The following is a 19191-nucleotide window of genomic DNA, read 5'->3' on the forward strand; positions in this document are numbered from 1 at the left end:
AAAGTGTTAGTCCTGTTCTCACTGTTTGATATTGATAATTTCATTTTGGTAACATCCGTTCCTCAACTGCTTTTTCTCTCCTAAGGAGATGGAAGCTTCTGGTAGCTGTGTGAGAAGAGATTGTTATGCAGTAAAAGTGTGCAGAAATGGTATTTGGCAGATAAATACATGTTCACATTCACAGAGAGTCAAAGATAAGAAGTTATTAGTTATGTCCTTTCTGAAAACTCCCTTAAAAAGCCTTCTCAACAAGCCAATCCTGGACATTCCAGAAAAATAAAGTAACCAAATGTCTCAGTTTGCTTGTGATACTGGCTTGTTTATGTCTATTACTCCTGTGTTAAGTATTAATAGCAATTCTTTTCACTCTCAAAAGGATCTTAGTTTGGATATCATCACTCTAAAAAACATAGTCCTGGCCGGGCACGGTGGCTCACGCTTGTAATCCCAGCACTCTGGGAGGCCAAGGCGGGCGGATCACGAGGTCAGGAGATCAAGACCATCCCGGCTAACATGGTGAAACCCTGTGTCTACTAAAAATACAAAAAATTTAGTCGGGCGTGGTGTTGAGAGGTGACAGCGTGCTGGCAGTCCTCAGAGCCCTCGCTTGCCCTCGGCACCTCTTCTGCCTGGGCTCCCACTTTGGCGGCACTTGAGGAGCCCTTCAGCCCACCACTGCACTGTGGGAGCCCCTTTCTGGGCTGGCCAAGGCTGGAGCCCACTCCTTCAGCTTGCAGGGAGGTGTGGAGGGAGAGGCGCGAGCGGGAACCGGGGCTGCGTGCGGCACTTGCGGGCCAGCTGGAGTTCGGGGTGGGCGTGGGCTTGGCGGGCCCAGCACTCGCAGCAGCCGGCCAGCCCTGCTGGCCCCGGGCAGTGAGGGACTTAGCACCCGGGCCAGCGGCTGCGGAGGATGTACTGGGTCCCCCAGCAGTGCCAGCCCACCGGCGCTGCGCTCGATTTCTCACCGAGCCTTAGCTGCCTTCCCGCGGGGCAGGGCTCGGGACCTGCAGCCCGCCATGCCTGAGCCTCCTACCCACTCCAAGGGCTCCTGTGCGGCCGGAGCCTCCCCGTACTAGCCCACCAGGAGGAACGAACAACTCCAGAGATGCTGCCTTAAGAGCTGTAACACTCACGGCAAAGTTCTGCAGCTTCACTCCTGAGCCAGCGAGACCACGAACCCACCAGAAGGAAGAAACTCCGAACACATCAGAATATCAGAAGGAACAAACTCCAGACGCGCCACCTTAAGAGCTGTAACACTCACCGCAAGGGTCCACGGCTTCATTCTTGAAGTCAGTGAGACCAAGAACCCACCAATTCCGGACACAGTGTCAGGCGCCTGTAGTCCCAGCTCCTCGGGAGGCTGAGGCAGGAGAATGGCGTCAACCTGGGAGGCGGAGCTTGCAGTGAGCCGAGATCACGCCACTGCACTCCAGCCTGGGCGACTGAGCAAGACTCCGTCTCAAAAGAACAGCAACAACAACAACAACAACAAACCATAGTCCTTTGTCAGTCTTTAGTCTACTACTTCTGACCTATTAACAGCTCCTGGCCTTCCATTTCTAGTTATCCCAGAAGGACATACTGGAACACCTTGCAGGTAACTACTGGGCAGGCAATTTCACCTGGTATTTAAAAACACGGATTCTCACTTGAACCTGGGAGGCGGAGGTTGCAGTGAGCTGAGATCGCGCCACGGCACTCCAGACTGGCTACAGAGCGAGACTCCATCTTAAATAAATAAATAAATAAATATGTAAATACCTGGATGCTGAGATCAGAAAACATAAGTTCAAATTCTAATTAACTCCATAAATTATTAGGTATGATATTTTGGGTGAGTTTTTTCATCTTTAAAATGGGGTTTTCAATAGCAATTGCTTACTCATAAGATAACATACATAAAATACTTACAGTATTCCTTGATACAATATAAATACCATTTCATTCCTGGTTGATTATCTTGGTCTTTCTCTTTCCATATTTTGCATATTGAAAAAGGGTAATGGAAACTATACATGTTTTTGTTTATAATCTGAAATTATAGCACCAACCTATTATACAGTTCTGATGTTTTCTATCTACTATTTCAATAAAATCTGAATCATATCGTACATGGTGATCATAAACTTTTTGCATTTTGTTTATTTATGTTTATATACTTTCAATACTACATTTAGATGATGATTGTGATAATTACATTATATGTATTATTTCTGGGTAATTATGTTTGTCATTTACATAGTCAGTACTTGAGAAACTGAGTGCAGATAGATGTCTAAGACAGCCCGCAATGATCCCACCTCCTAATAGTCACATCTATTTGTAATCCTTTCCTTCCCTTGAAAATGGGAAGTAACTTGCTTCTAATATGGCAAAGGTGATGGACTATTACTTCTGACATTAGATTACTAAAAATTGTGGCCTTCATGTTGTCAGTAGACTCTGTGTATTGCTTTTTCAGGTTACACACTTTGATGGCACTAACTGCATGTTAGAATTGTGTGGCAAAGAACTGAAGGCATCAGTCCAAAAGCCCAAAGAACTAAATACCGCCAACAACCCCATGAACTTGGAAGTGGGTCCTTTCCCAGTGAGCTCTGGAGATGACAAAAGACAGACAACACCTTGATTGTAGTCTGTGAGAAAACCTGAAGCAGAAGACCCAGCTAACTTGTGCTCAGATTCCTGACCAATACAAATTGTGAGACAAATGTGTAATTTTTTAAGCCAAGTTTTTGATAATGTAATATGAAGTGATAGATAACTAATACAAAATAGAGAACTGGATACATATGTTCACGAGCTATTCTGGCATAAAAATACATTCAATAAAAAACTTGTTGCTACTCTGTATTTCCCTCATCTCATTGACATCATCCTATCCTTTATCTTTCATATAAATATCTGTGTAAAATTTGTCAACAAATGGTGTGAAAATGAAGAGAAAGCAGAACAGTAGAAATAAAAGAGGACTTGTTTAGGTGTTTGCTTTGTTTGTTTTTGAAATAGGAGATTGTTATTGTCTGAATGTTTATGTTCCTCCAAAATTTATATGTAGAAATTCTAACACCCAAGGTGATGGTATTAAGAGGTGGGGATTTGTGGAAATGACTAGTTAATAAGGGTAAGATATTAATGTGATTAGTGCACTTATGGAAGAGGCCCTAGAGAGAACCCCTGTCCCTTCCACCATGTGAAGATGAAGCAATAAGCCACTGTCTATGAGCCAGAAAGCAGGCTCTGACCAGACTGAGCCTGCCTTGATCTCAAACTTCTCATCCTCCAGAACTGTAAATAATGATTGTTTTTTATAAGCTACCTACTTTGTGCTATTTTGTTGTAGCAGTCCAAATGGACTAAGACAGAGTTTCTATTAAACAGTATTAAGCTTAAGTGAAAATTCCAGGGAGAGGAAGAGGTAGATAACAATAAAGGTGGAAGAGATTACCTGCAGAGGACAAGTTCCTGAGAAAGTCAGCTGGGGTGGCATCCAAAGGATCACAGAGGAAGGGGTTCATCTTTGACAGGAGAAACATTTTATTCTTCACTTCTCAGAAGGCAGGAAATGGGGTAATTCAAGTATGCTAATATAATTGCTGGGGAATCAGAAAAGTGAATTCATGAATCAGAGTAGGTTATCTCTGCATTAGCAAGATGAAATCATCTAAGTGTAATAAAATGTAACTGATGAACTATATAGAACATAATTATACCCATTTCTAAGGAAATAGGAAATAGTCTCACTTCCTTTGTTTGCTTTGAGAGAACACAAATATACTACACATGGGTGCTATCTTCCATGCTCCACTTTGTAAGCGTTTTAACATTTGAGGAAATATGAGGAAATGGTGTTTTTATCTGCTATCAGAAATAAGTACTGAAACTGATTCAATGCTGAATCTGCTGCTAAAGAGAAAGATAAAATTGAACCGGTCGTTTGAAGAAATAGTCATGTCTTAACATAGCCTCAAACATAGCTATTTATTCATACTACTATAAATTTGTGTCACCCAGTTATAACGAATCAGCTTTATCCTCGCCTTTGATCCCTGAGGGCACTAAAAAATACCTTCTTGCATATGAACTCAAGAGGATTTTATCCTAGTCTAATTTTCTAATGCTCCTGGCTTCCTGCCCAGATACCCTGAAATGCAGGACAGCTGGGGAAATGACCATACTCTCATCTCCACAAGGAGCAAATGATGCCCTTTTGCAATGTATAGGCTCCTAGGGCACATTAAAATCTGTTCTAGGTATAAGGGGACAAATGGAAACAGAAAGGTTCATGGCAAAAGTGCATAGTATACATACAGAAAAGGTTCCCCAATGCCAGTGTATTTGCCATTGCCGTCTATGAAAGCATTGTTATCAGGGAGCAGTGAAATGAAAACATGAGAACAGCACACTGATTAGTTCATGTTTTTGTCAACCTAAATAATTGTCCTTTATTATGCTATGTATTGTAATTTCTATTTTTGTCCTAAAATATATTTTATTGCACACAGTTTAGGTAATAGTAACTTTGTTCCTACCATTTTTGACAAAATTAGAGTTGTCCACCCTATCATTAAATCCAAATATCTGGGTAATACTAATCTTGGCTAAACTAGATGGTCAGTTTTTATTTTATAACAGAGTTGTTAAGAAAGTGTGCTCTGAAATTAGATTGTTGGATTGATATTTTAGCCCTATGAATGGCTTTGTGATCTTAGGCAAATCACTAAACCAGTCTATTCCTTAATTTCTTCAACTGTAGATAAATTAAATAAATTTCTCATAGGTGCGCAATTATTCCATTCATACATGTATAGTGCCAGGCAAACAGTAAGCAGGCTCAGCCAGGAGTTGTTTATAATCATCTCAAAGCACTGAAACATCCCTAGTATAATGGAACATTTAATTATAATATTCAATGTTATACTAACAATACTAACAATACTAACAGCAATGAAGATCTGAAACATCGAATTGTTTATTAAACCAATATTCATTGTGCAACTATTATGTTCAGATACTGTGCTATAATTTTGAAGTACAAAAGTAAACAAGACCCTCAAAGAGTCTATAAACTAAGATTATTTTTAAATTTTCATCGAAGAGTTTCACTTCAGTTTAAGCCCCTCATCAGGTTAAACTGTAACTTGTGTTTGGAAGTAAGCAATGCTGTAAGATAGAAGTTGAAGAAGGTGAAAAGTTACAGACTGGAGGACACCTGGAGGATTGCTAATGACAAGACTGGCAAGAATTAATCACAGCAAAGCAGAAACAGAGACATAAGTTAAAAGTAACTGATAGATGAAGAGTTTGTTAATTTCCCCACTTGCAACCCTTCCGCATGGAAGTATATTATAGAAAAAGCAGTCTTTCTGCAATTGTTCTTCTAATAGAGTAAATGGTGTCATTCTCACTAGTATTCACATGATGTCTTGGCTTTAAAAAATGGGTAACTGGTAAGGTTCGTACATTCTTTGGTTAAGATTTGGTGCAAATACAATCATGCATTATGCACTCGATCTGCATAGCAGCAATCATCAAAGATTTTAGCCAGTTAATGCAAGCATTTTCTATTTATGAAAAGTGAAGTGAGTACTATAGTATGGTTCCATCATTACCTGAAATATCTCCATCATCCACTGCTCCACACCTAACAATCCATCTTCAGTCTCATTTGGTACTAAAGTTGCTGTACAAAGACACCCATCCACTTTACAAAGTACATAGCTCTTTCTATTGTGCCCAATCACTTTCTTGGGCTCGATTTGGTAAATTGGTACACTGATAAATTTAAAATAAATCTAATACAATTCCTAAAATTCAGGAAAAATGGAAGATTTACTTTTTCTCTCATTCCAATTCCTATAAAAACCACAGTGTTTAGTGCCCTCAGTATGCATTAAATAATTCTGGAAGAACAAATAATCCATGCTTTCTATGGCAAGGAATCTACCTGTGCCAAAGTTAGAGGGCCTTAATGCACTTCTGCCCTACCGTGAACACCTTGGCATTAAATGAGAGGTAATCATATTCAGTTGATCCTGCACTTATTGATTTATGAGTAAGTTTGATCACCTAATTGAGCATGAACTTATTTAATGCCTAATGAATGAAGACAGAACCTAAGGCCTAATTAACCATTTAAAGATATATCTGTGAAATCACATTAGGTAGACAGTAGGTACACATCTTAGGGGCTCATGAGCATGTTGAGAGAAAAATGGAATTAGTTGTAAAAAGTCAAACTTGAAGTTTAGATTGGATTTTTAACAGTAAAAATGATGAAGACAAATGCCTCGGTCAAACCAATTTACTAGAATATACTATTCCTGCCATGTGGGACGAAGACACAATTGAGGTTTGCACTATGCCAAAAGTCTTTATCAGGGAAGGATCCAAAAAGAAAAAGAAAGAATGGATACACTCCCAAAAAGTCCTAGTCTATGATTGAATTGATGCAGTTATTGGAACCTAGCTGATATTGAAGAATCTATCAAACAAAACATTCTCTCTCTGCTTCCTCGTGTCTGGATAAATTTCTTCGTCTATACTTCACTTAGGTCGTTCTGAAAGTATGTAAGTTTTTCCTATCAAAGTTTCTTCTTAAAGAAATTAATGATTAGAGAACTGTATTTAAAAATTCACGCTTGTTAATATTTTTTAAAGTATTTTTTCATATGCGTTACTTGTTTACATGGAATCATTTCTAGGGTTGGCTTTATTTCAACTTCATTATAATTTTAAGCAAAATGTAAACTCAAGGGGATTTTCGTTTCTGTTTTCTGGTATGCAGTATCAATCTAAAAATCACGCAATTTAAAAACAAATTAGTTTGTCCAGGGTGTTAAAGTTGGCAGACACTGGGGAAAAAGCTAACCAACGAATATTCTGAAATAACCCCACCCATTCTGCAAAAGGATTAAAGCAAAGGTCATCAATCTGTTTTTACACTCAATAAGAATGGGTGTCAATAAATACAACTTTAAATCACAACTATGAATTCTTTAATCTTTGGGATCAATTTATGCAAAGAGAATAAAAAGTTTTCAGAGACATAGTGGGATACTCCAGCCTGTAAGAAAGCATTACCTTTGGATAAAAACCAATTATTCATTAGCAGAAAACAGAATGCAGTCCCAGAGGTAGAGTATTATTTCAGATCCAATTTCTAGTTATCTAGATATCGGTGAATATCTTTACTGTCACTGAAAAATATGTTGGCAAATTCACAACATTGATCCAATGTTTGAGTACATTTTTCAGAATCTCTCTTAACAAAAAAGAGTATAAAAAAACTCTATGAAATGCCATAATACTATTCCCCAACTAATATATTTTTAGATGTTTGTAAACATTATTGCTCACAGACAGGTTTCAGTGTGATTTAATGCTACAATGCACAACTGGCTCCTTTTCATAAAAATATCTTTGAACTCTTCATATATAAAGTCTATCTTTTAAAATGCTTATAGTTAGAAAAAATGTTCTCAAACCCAAACTCTTCTCTTCTAAACTCCTATTTAGTCTTTCTGCCCCCCATTTCTCACTATCACCGTGCAAATTCACTATTACAAGCAAAAGAGCTCTTTTGTTTAAAAACAGATCTGTTTTTCATACACTACACAGGATGTGTTCAATCACCAAAGGTATTTATTGAATGCCAGCTATGAATCATGTACTGCGTAGGCTTGGGGACATTGGGGATAGATAAATATCAGTAAGGTTTAAAAGCCTAAATAGGCTTCATGGTTTTCTATTGACTACTCACTCTTTAGTTTGAAACACATAAATCCAATTCCTAACACAGACAACTTCTGCAACTTGATTTCTTTCTTGATTCTACTTCATGCCCTCAATTCTCCATTTACACTAAACTTCTACCATTCACTTGAATATTTCAAGCCCTTTTATTCCTCTGGGCTTTTGTCCACAATATATTCCTGTCTTCCAAAATAAATTATTTCCTTCTAAACCTGTCAGATACTCACGTACTGCAAGACCAAGACAAATTTATATTCTAGTCAATAAAATATTTCCTATATCTTCTAGTAAGAGCCATTCACTTCCTTCTCTGAACTCCTAAAGTGCTTCATTCTTTTCTCATTCAGATTATTATTAAAATTATACTGCAGTTATATTTTTACAGAAAATTAGGAATGAAAATAACTAACCTGCACATTGTGCACATGTACCTTAAAACTTAAAGTATAATAATAATAAAATTTAAAAAAAAGAATATTTAAAATCTTAATGTTATAAAAATAATGTAGAATAAATATATTGTTGTTCATTCAGCAAATATGTTAATAGAAAGAAATGTGGTTGTTTTGTCTTTTCACAACAAAGTAAACTAGAGGGGTAGGGGAAAGATAATGGTTTACCTTGTGATAATATTGAAAAACTCGTGCACCAAATGTAAAAGTAAGAAATAAAATAGCTTCGTACATTCAAATATATAAATATGCATTTTTTCAAACAGTTATTTTTACAGAACATTGAAATTCCTGATACCCAGAGAGGCTAATATTAGCATATCAAAGAGGTAGAGACTTGTTTTTTCAAATTATACTAGAGCATTCAGAAAGTGCTGTCACTCTTGTAGGCAAAAGTACTGGGGAAAAAAAGTCCATTAAAATAAGTAAAGAGAAAGTTTAAAAGCAGGTATTTTTAAGTACATACATGTTAAAATAAATATATAGAAAGAGTTAATGGAAATGGACCACTAATGTATTTGATTATATTAAAATCTCTGCCTGATGTGAGCAAAGAAAAATTAAAACTTAACAAAATTAAAGAATCATATATATTGAAGTATAAAAGGAGGTTTAATGTATCAGCTTGGCTATGCTGTAGCCCCCAGTTATTCAACCAAATACTAGTCGAGGTGTTAGTGTGAAGGCATTTTGTATATGAGATTCAAGTCTGCAAACAGTTGACCTTCAGTGGCTTATTTTAGTTAATCTGTGTGGGCCTGATTCAATCAGTTGAAAGACTTTAAGAGTAAAACTGAGGATTCCCTGAGGAGGAAGAAACTGCCTGTGAATAGCCCATGCCCCAGCATTCCCAGTTTTACCTTCTGCTCATGCCCCAGCATTCCAGTCTGCCCCTCCTAAAGGCAAGCTTAGGGGTTTCAAACTTGCATTGTCACCTCCCAAAATCATGTTAGCCAATTTCTTACAGTATGTATTTCCTACTGGTTCTGTTTTTCTGGTTGATCCCTGACTGATATATGGAGCATAGCGTCTTGATATGTCAGATTTATAATCTCTTTCAGTCAGTACATAGTTATCAAGCAGTTATTTCAGTGTTATTGGCAAGTAATTGAATTCAGCTAATCTCTTGTCAGTATTTGAGAAATCAATCTGTTCAGTTAAAATAGTTTTGTCTCCTGGATGAGTACTTTACCAAGGCCAAATTTCAACTCTCCATCTGGCCTCCTAACAACTTCCTCTTGTAGTATTTCTACTTTGAGCTGGCACATCTAGGTTCATCACAGAACCTGTGATCTCTAACGTATCTCTTCTTCTCATCTTCCACATTAAATTTATCACTGCTTATCAGTTTCAGAAGCCTATTTACAAAGGACTTAGGAAGCCCATATACAAAGGACTTAGAGGAGATTGTGGGCATAATTGTTGCGAGATGAGAAACTTGGTAGACAGTATGTTACATAGAAGTGAGAAAATAGCAGTGGTGTAATTCCAAAAACAGCACACTAGTTCACTTCTTCCTGTTTGCATTGCCATTTTCTTAGTCTATGTGCTCATGCTTTAAGTGATATCTTTGGTCTTACTTCCTCAGAGGAATCTTCACAGACTCTCCAATCCTCAGGTTCATTATAGTGTCTTTCTAATTCATTACAGTGGCTTAACCCTCTTTGAAAGACCTGCAATTATCCTTTAATCTGCTTGGCAAAACTCATATTAACACAGTTATGCTTGTGATTACTGTTTAATATCTCTCCTGTTAGTCAACTTTGATGAGTTCCATGTCAGAGCTGTTTGATTTGTCTTTTCTTTCTTTTTTTATTTTAAACTTTTAAAAATCGAAGGATAATGTTCAGAAAGAAAAGTAAATATACTATAAATGTGGGGCATGATGCATTCTCTCACATAGAACAGCTGTGTAAAGATCACCAATATTTTTATTTTGGTTTATTACTAGCACTGAGAAAGTTCCCTTTATTCTCCATTCCTGTTTAAGGCCTAACTACCATTCTGAGTTTAACTGCATAGGTTACTTTGGCCTCTTTTTGTGCTTTATATAAATAAAATGCTCTATATTAATTAGTCCATTTTCATGCTGCTGATAAAGACATACCCAAGACTGGGTAATTTATAAAGAAAAAGAAGTTTAATGGACCCACAGTTCCACGTGGCTGGGGAGGCCTCACCGATCATGGTGGAAGCCAAAAGGCGTATCTTACACGGTGGCAGGCAAGAGAGAATGAGAACCAAACAAAAGGGGAAACCTCTTAAAAAACCATCAGATCTCGTGAGATTTATTCACTACCATGAGAACAATGTGGGGGAAACTGGCCCCATGACTCAGTTATCTCTCACCAGGACCCTCCTACAACACGTGGGAATTATGGTAGTTACAATTCAAGATGAGATTTGGGTGGGGCCACAGCCAAACCATATCATGCTCTAAAGCTGTTTCACCTTTCAACACATATTTATAAGATTCATCCACACTACTGCATGCAATTATTAACTTGTTTATTTTCATTACAGAATAATATTCCACTGTATAAATAAAAAATAATTTATGTATCCATTCTACCAATGATAGACCTTTGGGTTATTTCCAGGGTTGGTTGTGATCAATAATATTGCTATAAACATTATTGCATGTCTATTCATGGGCATAGGTCTGGATTTATTTTGGAAATATACCTAAGATTGGAAATGCTAGTCCATAAAGTGCATATATTTAGTCATAGTCAATATTGTCCCAAACAAGTTTTAAAAGTGGTTGTACCAATTTGAACTCTCACTAAAGAGTTTCAGTTTCTCCAAACAAGATTTCTTTACAAACACTTGAGATTTTCAGTCTTTTTCACTGTAGCTATTCTGATATGTAGCTATTCTGATATGTAGTAGGATCTGATTATTGCTTTAATTTGAATTCTTTGATGATTAATATATTTAAACACCTTTTCACATGTTTATAGACATTTACATATTCTTTTTATCAAATATTTATTCACATTTTGCATTTTCAGTTGACTTGTGTATATATAGCTATATAAGAAGAGATTAATATCTTTAAGAAATCTTTGCTTACTCCAAGATTAAAAGATTATTCTATCTTTACTTCAAAAAGCTTTTTCCATTTGCTTTTACAATTAGACTTGAAATTCATCTGTAATTGACTTTGCTTATTTAAGATAGATGCTGTCTTTTTAATCACAGATGTATTTAAAGCACCCAGCAATAAATACTGAATTAATATATCTTAAATAACTGAATGAAGAGGTGAATGAAAACATAAGTTTGGGTTAGTTCCAAGAAAAAAAAAAAGGTATGTAGGATAATGTGTGTATAGTATACATTATAGATGGGATGTTCAAAATTCTCTTTCCAAACACATTATCCCTTCTCTAATACAAATATTAAATGTTTATATCCTAGCTTCCATTGCAGCCAGAGAGGGGCATGTGACACTTTTTAAGCCAGTGAAATGTAAGAAGTCGTCCACCGTTGGCATCCCTTTATTTTCCTCTTCCACTGGCCTGTAACAGGCACACGGATATGATGCCTGAGGGTACAGTAGCCATATTATTACCATGAGGTTACAAAAGTGAGGACAAAAATAACATCTAAGAAAAAAAATCTAAGCAAAAATATAACAAGAATCCTGGTCCCAATGATAACTGAACATCTATGCTAATCAATCCCTAAACTTTTTCTTATGTATTACAAATAAATCCCACTTGTGTCATTTGGTGATGCATGTGTGAGATTAATTTTCTTATTTGCAACCGAAGGCATTCCTAAATGGAGCAGACTAAGGAATCCGTATATATTTCTGGTTTGACAATGCCATAATGTTTTAAAGGTGCATTTCCTCATCCACCATGAATGAAGGATAGTGGAAGAAATGTCCTTTCTCTCAGCTTATGTTGTACTCTTGTGAGTCAGAAAATCCTGGCCTGAAACATGAATCCTGGATCTGCAGTCTACTAGCTGTCTCTCTTTTGAGAAATTTACTTAACATCCACTGGTTAATTTGCTTTCTGTAAAAGAATAAAACAATATAGAAAAAACATCTTCTTTGAGAGTGGTTTTGGAGAAAGGCTTATGATAATTTATGAAAGATACCTGACATAAGGCAAGTATTTGATATGTGTTAGGTATTTCCCCTCATTTTTAATTATAAGTACATTTACAGTATGTACTTGAGAAAAGCATCAAGTAAACAACAGGTGAAAACCAAGACTATTTTTGTCTTGGATAAGCTGTCATATTAATAAAGATATGCACTAGTAAAACATACTTTACCTTGTAGAAAAAAAAAGGGGCAGGAATGTTTTCTGCTATTTACGATGTTACATATTGTTATTGGTAACCACAAACTTGAGTTATTATTTTGTGGCAATAATTTTATAAATTATCATGGCCTAAGAAAGTTTATGATGCTTTCAAATATATACAAGTTATTTTCAGAGAGTTGCATGTCTGATATTACCAAGAAATGTTTTCGATATTAACAGGAAAGCAACTCTAATTGTTTGATGGGAAGATAAGTTATTTGCCCAAATATCTATAATCTTATGGGAAATGTTTTTTAAGAATACTTTAATATTGTTTCTGAAGAAGGTAACAAGCATAACTTTGAGATTTATAATCTCATATCTGTAATTTGTGTATGTGCCAATGCATTAATAAAAGCAAATTTATCTTTTTCAGGAAAAAAAATTGAGTCATAACTTAAATAGGTTTATACTAATAAGGTACTCCATTGATTCAAATATTTGATTTCTTTTTCAGGCAAGACAGACAAGTTAAGCAACAAAGAAAAATAGGAGTGATTTTCTAAAAAGACAAAAATGCACTTGAAATTGATAAAGCACCAATTTTAGATGGCATACAAAGCATTAAGAAGATTAAGGGAAAAGAGCAAAGAAATCAGTAAACCTTTACTCGACCTTTTAAAAATTTCATTAGGCTTAGAAATGTTCCCAAGGAAAGAAAAATAACAGATCCTTCTGCCTGTTGTTGTTGATGTTGTTTGAGAATAAATCAAGAAATTATATCCTAATCAGTTGAAGGTTTGCATTTCAGAAAATCAGTGGGCTCTAAGGGAGAAAATCCTGACAAAGCTTATTACTACACAGCCCAATGATTTCAATATTGAAATAAGAAAGTCATACCAAATTTTAGTAGTTTTTAGAGAATATTACAGCAATCATACGCAAGAGACTTCAGAAGCTGTTTAAAAAGTATTATTAGTTTCCTACAGAAAATTCTGTCAGAAACTTTGAAAACTGAAAGTAAAGCCAAAACTTTATAGTAGCCTATCAAGTGGTACAATAGATATATATAATTCCTTAAAGCAAGCTGAGGTACCTGTAGAAATAACAGGGAATAAAAATAATACTTCACTTGGCCGGGCGCAGTGGCTCACGCCTGTAATCCCAGCACTTTGGGAGGCCGAGGCAGGCAAATCACGAGGTCAGGAGATCGAGACCATCCTGGCTAACATAGTGAAACCCTGTCTCTACTAAAAATATGAAAAAATTAGCCGGGCGTGGTGGCGGGCGCCTGTAGTCCCAGCTCCTCGGGAGGCTGAGGCAGGAGAATGGCGTGAACCCAGGAGGCGGAGCTTGCAGTGAGCCCAGATAGCGCCACTGCACTCCAGCCTGGGCGACAGAGCGAGACTCCGTCTCAAAAAAAAAAAAAAAATTCACATTTAGTACTTGCTCCTGTTGAGGCACAGCTGGGTAATTACTTGGGTAAAACATGGAATAAAATGTCTTCTTTTCTTTATTTTTTTTCTTTTTTTGAGATGGAGTCTTGCTCTGTCGCCAGGTTGGAGTGCAGTGGCGCAATCTTAGCTCACTGAAACCTCTGCCTCCTCTGTGCAAGTGATTCTCCTGCCTCGGCCTCCCAAGTAGCTGGGACTACAGGTACGTGCCACCACAGCCAGCTAAATTTGTATTTTTAGTAGAGACGCGGTTTCACCATGTTGGCTGGCATGGTCTTGATCTCTTGACCTTGTGATCCACCCGCCTCGATACAATGCAATTTCTATAAAAATCTTAATATGAGGTCAGCTTATAGACAACAGACACACATCACACAAATGAACTGATAATGTCTTGGGACATGTAAAAACTTCCTGAAAATGTAAAAGGATGAGATCTAGCAATAAGCAGTTATTTTCAAGGAGAATCACAACACTAGGAGATGCACATGTAAAAACAATTACAGGTATAAATAAGAAGTACAAATAAGGTATGTAAAAAATAAGTATACTTTATTTGGTTATATAAATAATTTAAAATCCAAATTCTTCTATGTGTTCCATTATCCCAACGCTCTTCCCCAGCCTCCTTGGCTGATAATAAAAGAAACATCAGTTATTATAAGGCTTCCCTTTTCCTAGTGTTTCATGAATACAAATTCAAGAGACATCTGCGTGCCACTGCATCACATTTCTGTAAAAATCTTCTCAGCCAGTATGTCAACCTCATTACTTAGGAACCAGGACCATTAGATGTACCCATTGACCTCATGAGATGCTGCCAGGGATAGAAGCAAAATCTTTACAGGAAACTGAGTGCATTCATCCTAGATTCAGCCTGGACATGCACTAGTCTAGTTGCCTGCAGAAGCACTGGCTCCTTTACCTTTTCCTTCAAAAACAGCATTTAGATTGACCTGAGTGATGAAATAACCTGGACAACTAACTCCCATGACACAAGTTTACCTATATAACAAATCCTGCACTTGTACCCCTAAACTTAATACAAGAAGAATAATAAGAATAATAAAAATAATTTTTTAATTCAAAAAACCCACAAAAACAATGAGCAGAGGTTATAAGATGGTATAGCTTTTAAAAAAACTTGAGAGGAGAACAAAAGACTGCCTTCATTCTTTTTTTGATTTCGACTGTGAAAACTCTTTGACAAATAAAAACACAAACTCCCCAGTTTTACCTTTGGATTGGCAGAGGAAAAAAAATAAGAGAGAAAAACAAAAGTCCAAGAATTAAGCTTCTAGTATTTCCCTGGTAGCTTCTGACTAGCCCAGCTGACCTAAAGTTTATAGATTAATTGGTTCTATGCAAGATATAGACGATACCATCAAATAATAATTCAAGTGAAAGAGAACATTGGAGACCTCTGTTTAAATCAGGAGATCTAGAAGCCGTTTTTATCAGTGGGTAAATTAGAAAAATATAACTTCACCTGTAGAGGGAGATGTTGGAGATGTCTTGACCCTCATTTTGGCTCTGCACTGAGAGAAAATAAATCAGAAATAAAGAAAGAGATAAAAGAAATAGGAAAGAAAGACGGAAGGAAGTCTCTTCTAAGAATACCTAACCACAAGCTAGAGTTGCAGCATGTGACCGTAAATCCAAGCATGTAATTTACTTTTAAAAAGCTCCAGTGAGGTAGTGCATCACGAGGATTTAACAAAAATGAGAAATATTCTCTTCGAAAAAAGGATGTTAAACCCATCATCCAAATTATTCCTACATATAAAGTTCCAAGAAATATTAGCTTATAATGACAAATTTTCCAAAAAAAAATTAAGATGACAAATGATCCAGAATGATCTAAAATAGAAAACAGGTGTGGAATCAAACTCAAGGACATTAGAGATAGCAAAGCTATCAAATAAATAATGTAAAGGTAAGCATGCTAAAAATGTTTTAAATTATAAAAAGAGAATAGACTATAAGATTAATTGACAACATAATTGTCATAGTTGACAAGAAAGACTGAAAAAAAATAATTCTCATATAATTAAAAAATACATAGTAATTTTAATTAGAAACTCAATAGATGATTTAAATAGACAAAGATGAAGAGAGAACATTAGAAAATGGATATAGATCTGTTTGAAGAAATTACCCCTAATAAAGCACAGAAAAATAAAGACATGCAAAAATAAGAAGATTAAGACAAAGAACAAAAAGGTCTAACATATATCAAAATTGAGTTTAATATGAAATAATAGGAGAAAGTGGAGGGAAGGATTAGTAAAGAAGATGTTTGAGTCAGCATGTTCCAAAATTCAGGAAAGATAGCAATGTTTAAATAGAGAAGCTAAAGAGTTCTCAAGAAGGATAAGTTAAAAGAAGCTGAGATAAATGCATTGTAATGAATATACGTAATTCTAAAATCAAGAGAAGATGGTTAAAATAGTTAGAAAGAAAAGATAGCTTTTTCCAAAGGAAAAGCTATAAAACTGTGACTTTCCAACAGAACAAGAGAAGCTGGAAGACAATAGAATTATTTGTTTTCAAGGTGCCAGGAGGAAAAACTGTCATATTTGTATATACTCAAAGTAAGTATCTCAAGAATGAAGATACAATAAAGATATTAACTGACTTACATTGAAGAAATTCCTTAAAAACAAAATTCAGGATACAAAATATGAAAGATAATTGCTTAAAATGTATGAAAAATGTTAAGAAAATATTTGGGCAAATTAAAGCAAACACCAAGTTAATAAAATATAAACAATGTCTAATTTGTAGGGCTAAAGAAAAACAACAAATAAGAATGCTGTGTAACAATTAAGACACTGAAATTAAGATTCTAAGGTTCTTGGATTTTTCATGAGGTAGATAAAGATACATGATTAGGGCCGGCCGCGGTGACTCATGCCTGTAATCCCAGCACTTTGGGAGGCCAAGGCGAACGGATCACGAAGTCAGGAGATCGAGACCATCCTGGCTAACATGGTGAAACCCTGTCTCTACTAAAAATACAAAAAATTAGCCGAGCGTGGTGGTGGGCGCCTGTAGCGCCAGCTACTCGGGGGGCTGAGAAACGAGAATGGCGTGAACCCGGGAGGCGGAGCTTGCAGTGAGCCGAGATCTACGATTAACTTTAGTCTTTTGAAAGTTAGGCAAGCATATAACCACAAAACGAATGTAAATAGTTTCTATAACTTTCAATCTTCTTGGAGACAAAATAGAATGAGGTAATAAAACAAAGCAAACCACACAAAACTCAATTGAAATAAAGCAAGAAAATAAGAAAATGAAAGCATAGAAAAAGCTTAATAAATAGAGGCATTGAAATAAGGTGGCAGAAATAAAATCAAATATACCAACATATTCATATCAATATACTTATATACAATAAATATAAATACATTATTTAGTTAAAAGACCAAAATAATCTGGACTTGTTTATAGAAGACATGTATGAAGTATAAGATAACAAAATGGTTGAAAGCAAAAGGATTGAAAAGATGTGGCAGGAAAATGCTAACCAAAAATCTCATGTGACTATAACATAAGACAGAATATAAATTAAGGTTAAAGCATTATAGGACACAAACATACAACCATACATGCACAGTTTCTATATAATGTCTAGGAGCTAAATTCAACTGGATCATATAACAATTCTAAACTTATTTTTATCTAGCTTAAAGCTATGCAAAACAAAAAGTATGAGAAGAATCAAACAGACACATCTACTGTCGTAGCAGATAATTTGAACATGCTTTTTTAATTAATAAATGAACTAAACAGAAAAATCAGGAACTGTAATGAAGATCTGAGTAAAATAATTACATCAGATAAGGTAACAAGTCTCCAAATCTCACTGATTCCTAATTGGTGAACTACTCTTCTCCAAGCAGTGATTCCAGGGTGCAGCCTTCCTTCTTGTGGCTCCACCACTCTGTCGGTCAGTACTGCTCAACTGGGGGCAATTTTGACCCCTATGGGAAATTTGACAAGACCTGGAGAAAGTTCAGGTTGTCACACTTGGTCTCTATTGACATCTAATATATTGAAGACAGAGATGCTCAAAACATCCACAGAACACTGTTTCCTGTTGAGGCATAGGGCAGCTCCCACAATAAGAATTATCAGGCACCAAATGTCAGTGCTGAGGTTGGAAACCCTGGTCTATAACCTTGGAGTCCTCTATTGGATCTTCCGCATCTGGCCAGCAGATGGGGAAGAATAAGCAACCTCCATTGGGGAAGTTTTTGTGAATCAGATCTAGTGTCCAGAATTCCTTACAATAAATAAAAAAGGACACAAAAATAAAAAAAAAAAGGCATAAGGAATTAAAGTGTATCACTAAAAGTGGCCAGTATATATGAATATGTACCCAAATTCATTAGTAAACAGGAAACTGAAAATTTTAACTACAATGGGTTTTCACCTGACATTCACCAGGCTGACACTGATGACTGAGTATGCCAGTTATGGCAAGGATGTGGAGAAACAGGAATCTCATATATTTTAGTCCAATTGGAAATGTCTGCATCTGATATAGGTATCAATTTAATGTTACCTATTAATGTGAAAATGCACATTCTTTATTACCAAGATTCTCTATTCCTAGATATTGATTGTTTTGGGTAGTGCTTTTCAACATTGCCTGCAGATTAAAATTGCCTGGGAAATGTTTATTAGATGTCGGTGCATGAGTACCACTACCAAAGTTACTAATTCAACTGAGCCCAGAACAGGTCCTCAAGCAACAGATTGTTGAGTGTACAGTTGAAGTTAAAATACACTGCCTTGGGAATTCTCCTCTCCATGTACACAACAGCATCATTTATAATAGCAAATAAGCAAACAAAAACTCTTATATACACAAGCTAGTAACTCCTGTCTATAAAAATTGAAACAGGCAAACACTGTGGTTTAGTCATACAATAAAATATGAATCACAAAAATGAATCCACAGCTAAACCTGCCTCGAATTGAATTTTAAACCATAATGAGATCTTAAAAGACACAAAATTCAACAAAAAATTGTAAAACGCACTGTAAACACATACCATATAGTTCTCTTTTCTCTCTCTATATATGTATATCTGTTTGTTTACATATATATCATTATACACACATGTACAAACATATACACACACAACATAACCTGTAGTAAAAATTGTAATAAAAAGCAATGAAATAACTTCACAATTCAGGATATGGGAATCTTTGGAGGAAAGGAGGGTAAGAGTTTACAGAAAGGCACAC

At 36.0% G+C, this 19191-nt stretch overlaps 2 long non-coding RNA genes across 2 annotated transcripts in view; one reads left to right on the plus strand and one right to left on the minus strand.

Moving 5' to 3' along the window:
* The first annotated feature begins 1273 nt into the window (after positions 1-1273).
* LOC105369879 (uncharacterized) lies at positions 1274-2856 on the plus strand. The gene is made up of 2 exons (NR_135020.1): positions 1274-1600; positions 2465-2856. It is a non-coding gene; the product is annotated as an uncharacterized LOC105369879 (long non-coding RNA).
* A 595-nt stretch (positions 2857-3451) lies between these two features.
* LOC107984478 (uncharacterized) overlaps positions 3452-19191 on the minus strand; it is a 55308-nt gene continuing 39568 nt past the window's right edge. Inside the window, exon 3 of the long non-coding RNA XR_001749242.3 lies at positions 3452-3599. This is a non-coding gene — a long non-coding RNA (uncharacterized LOC107984478). The remainder of the gene's footprint in view (positions 3600-19191) is intronic.

The sequence above is a fragment of the Homo sapiens genome, chromosome 12 (genome assembly GCF_000001405.40).
Source record: "Homo sapiens chromosome 12, GRCh38.p14 Primary Assembly".
Taxonomy (NCBI): Eukaryota; Metazoa; Chordata; class Mammalia; order Primates; family Hominidae; genus Homo; species Homo sapiens.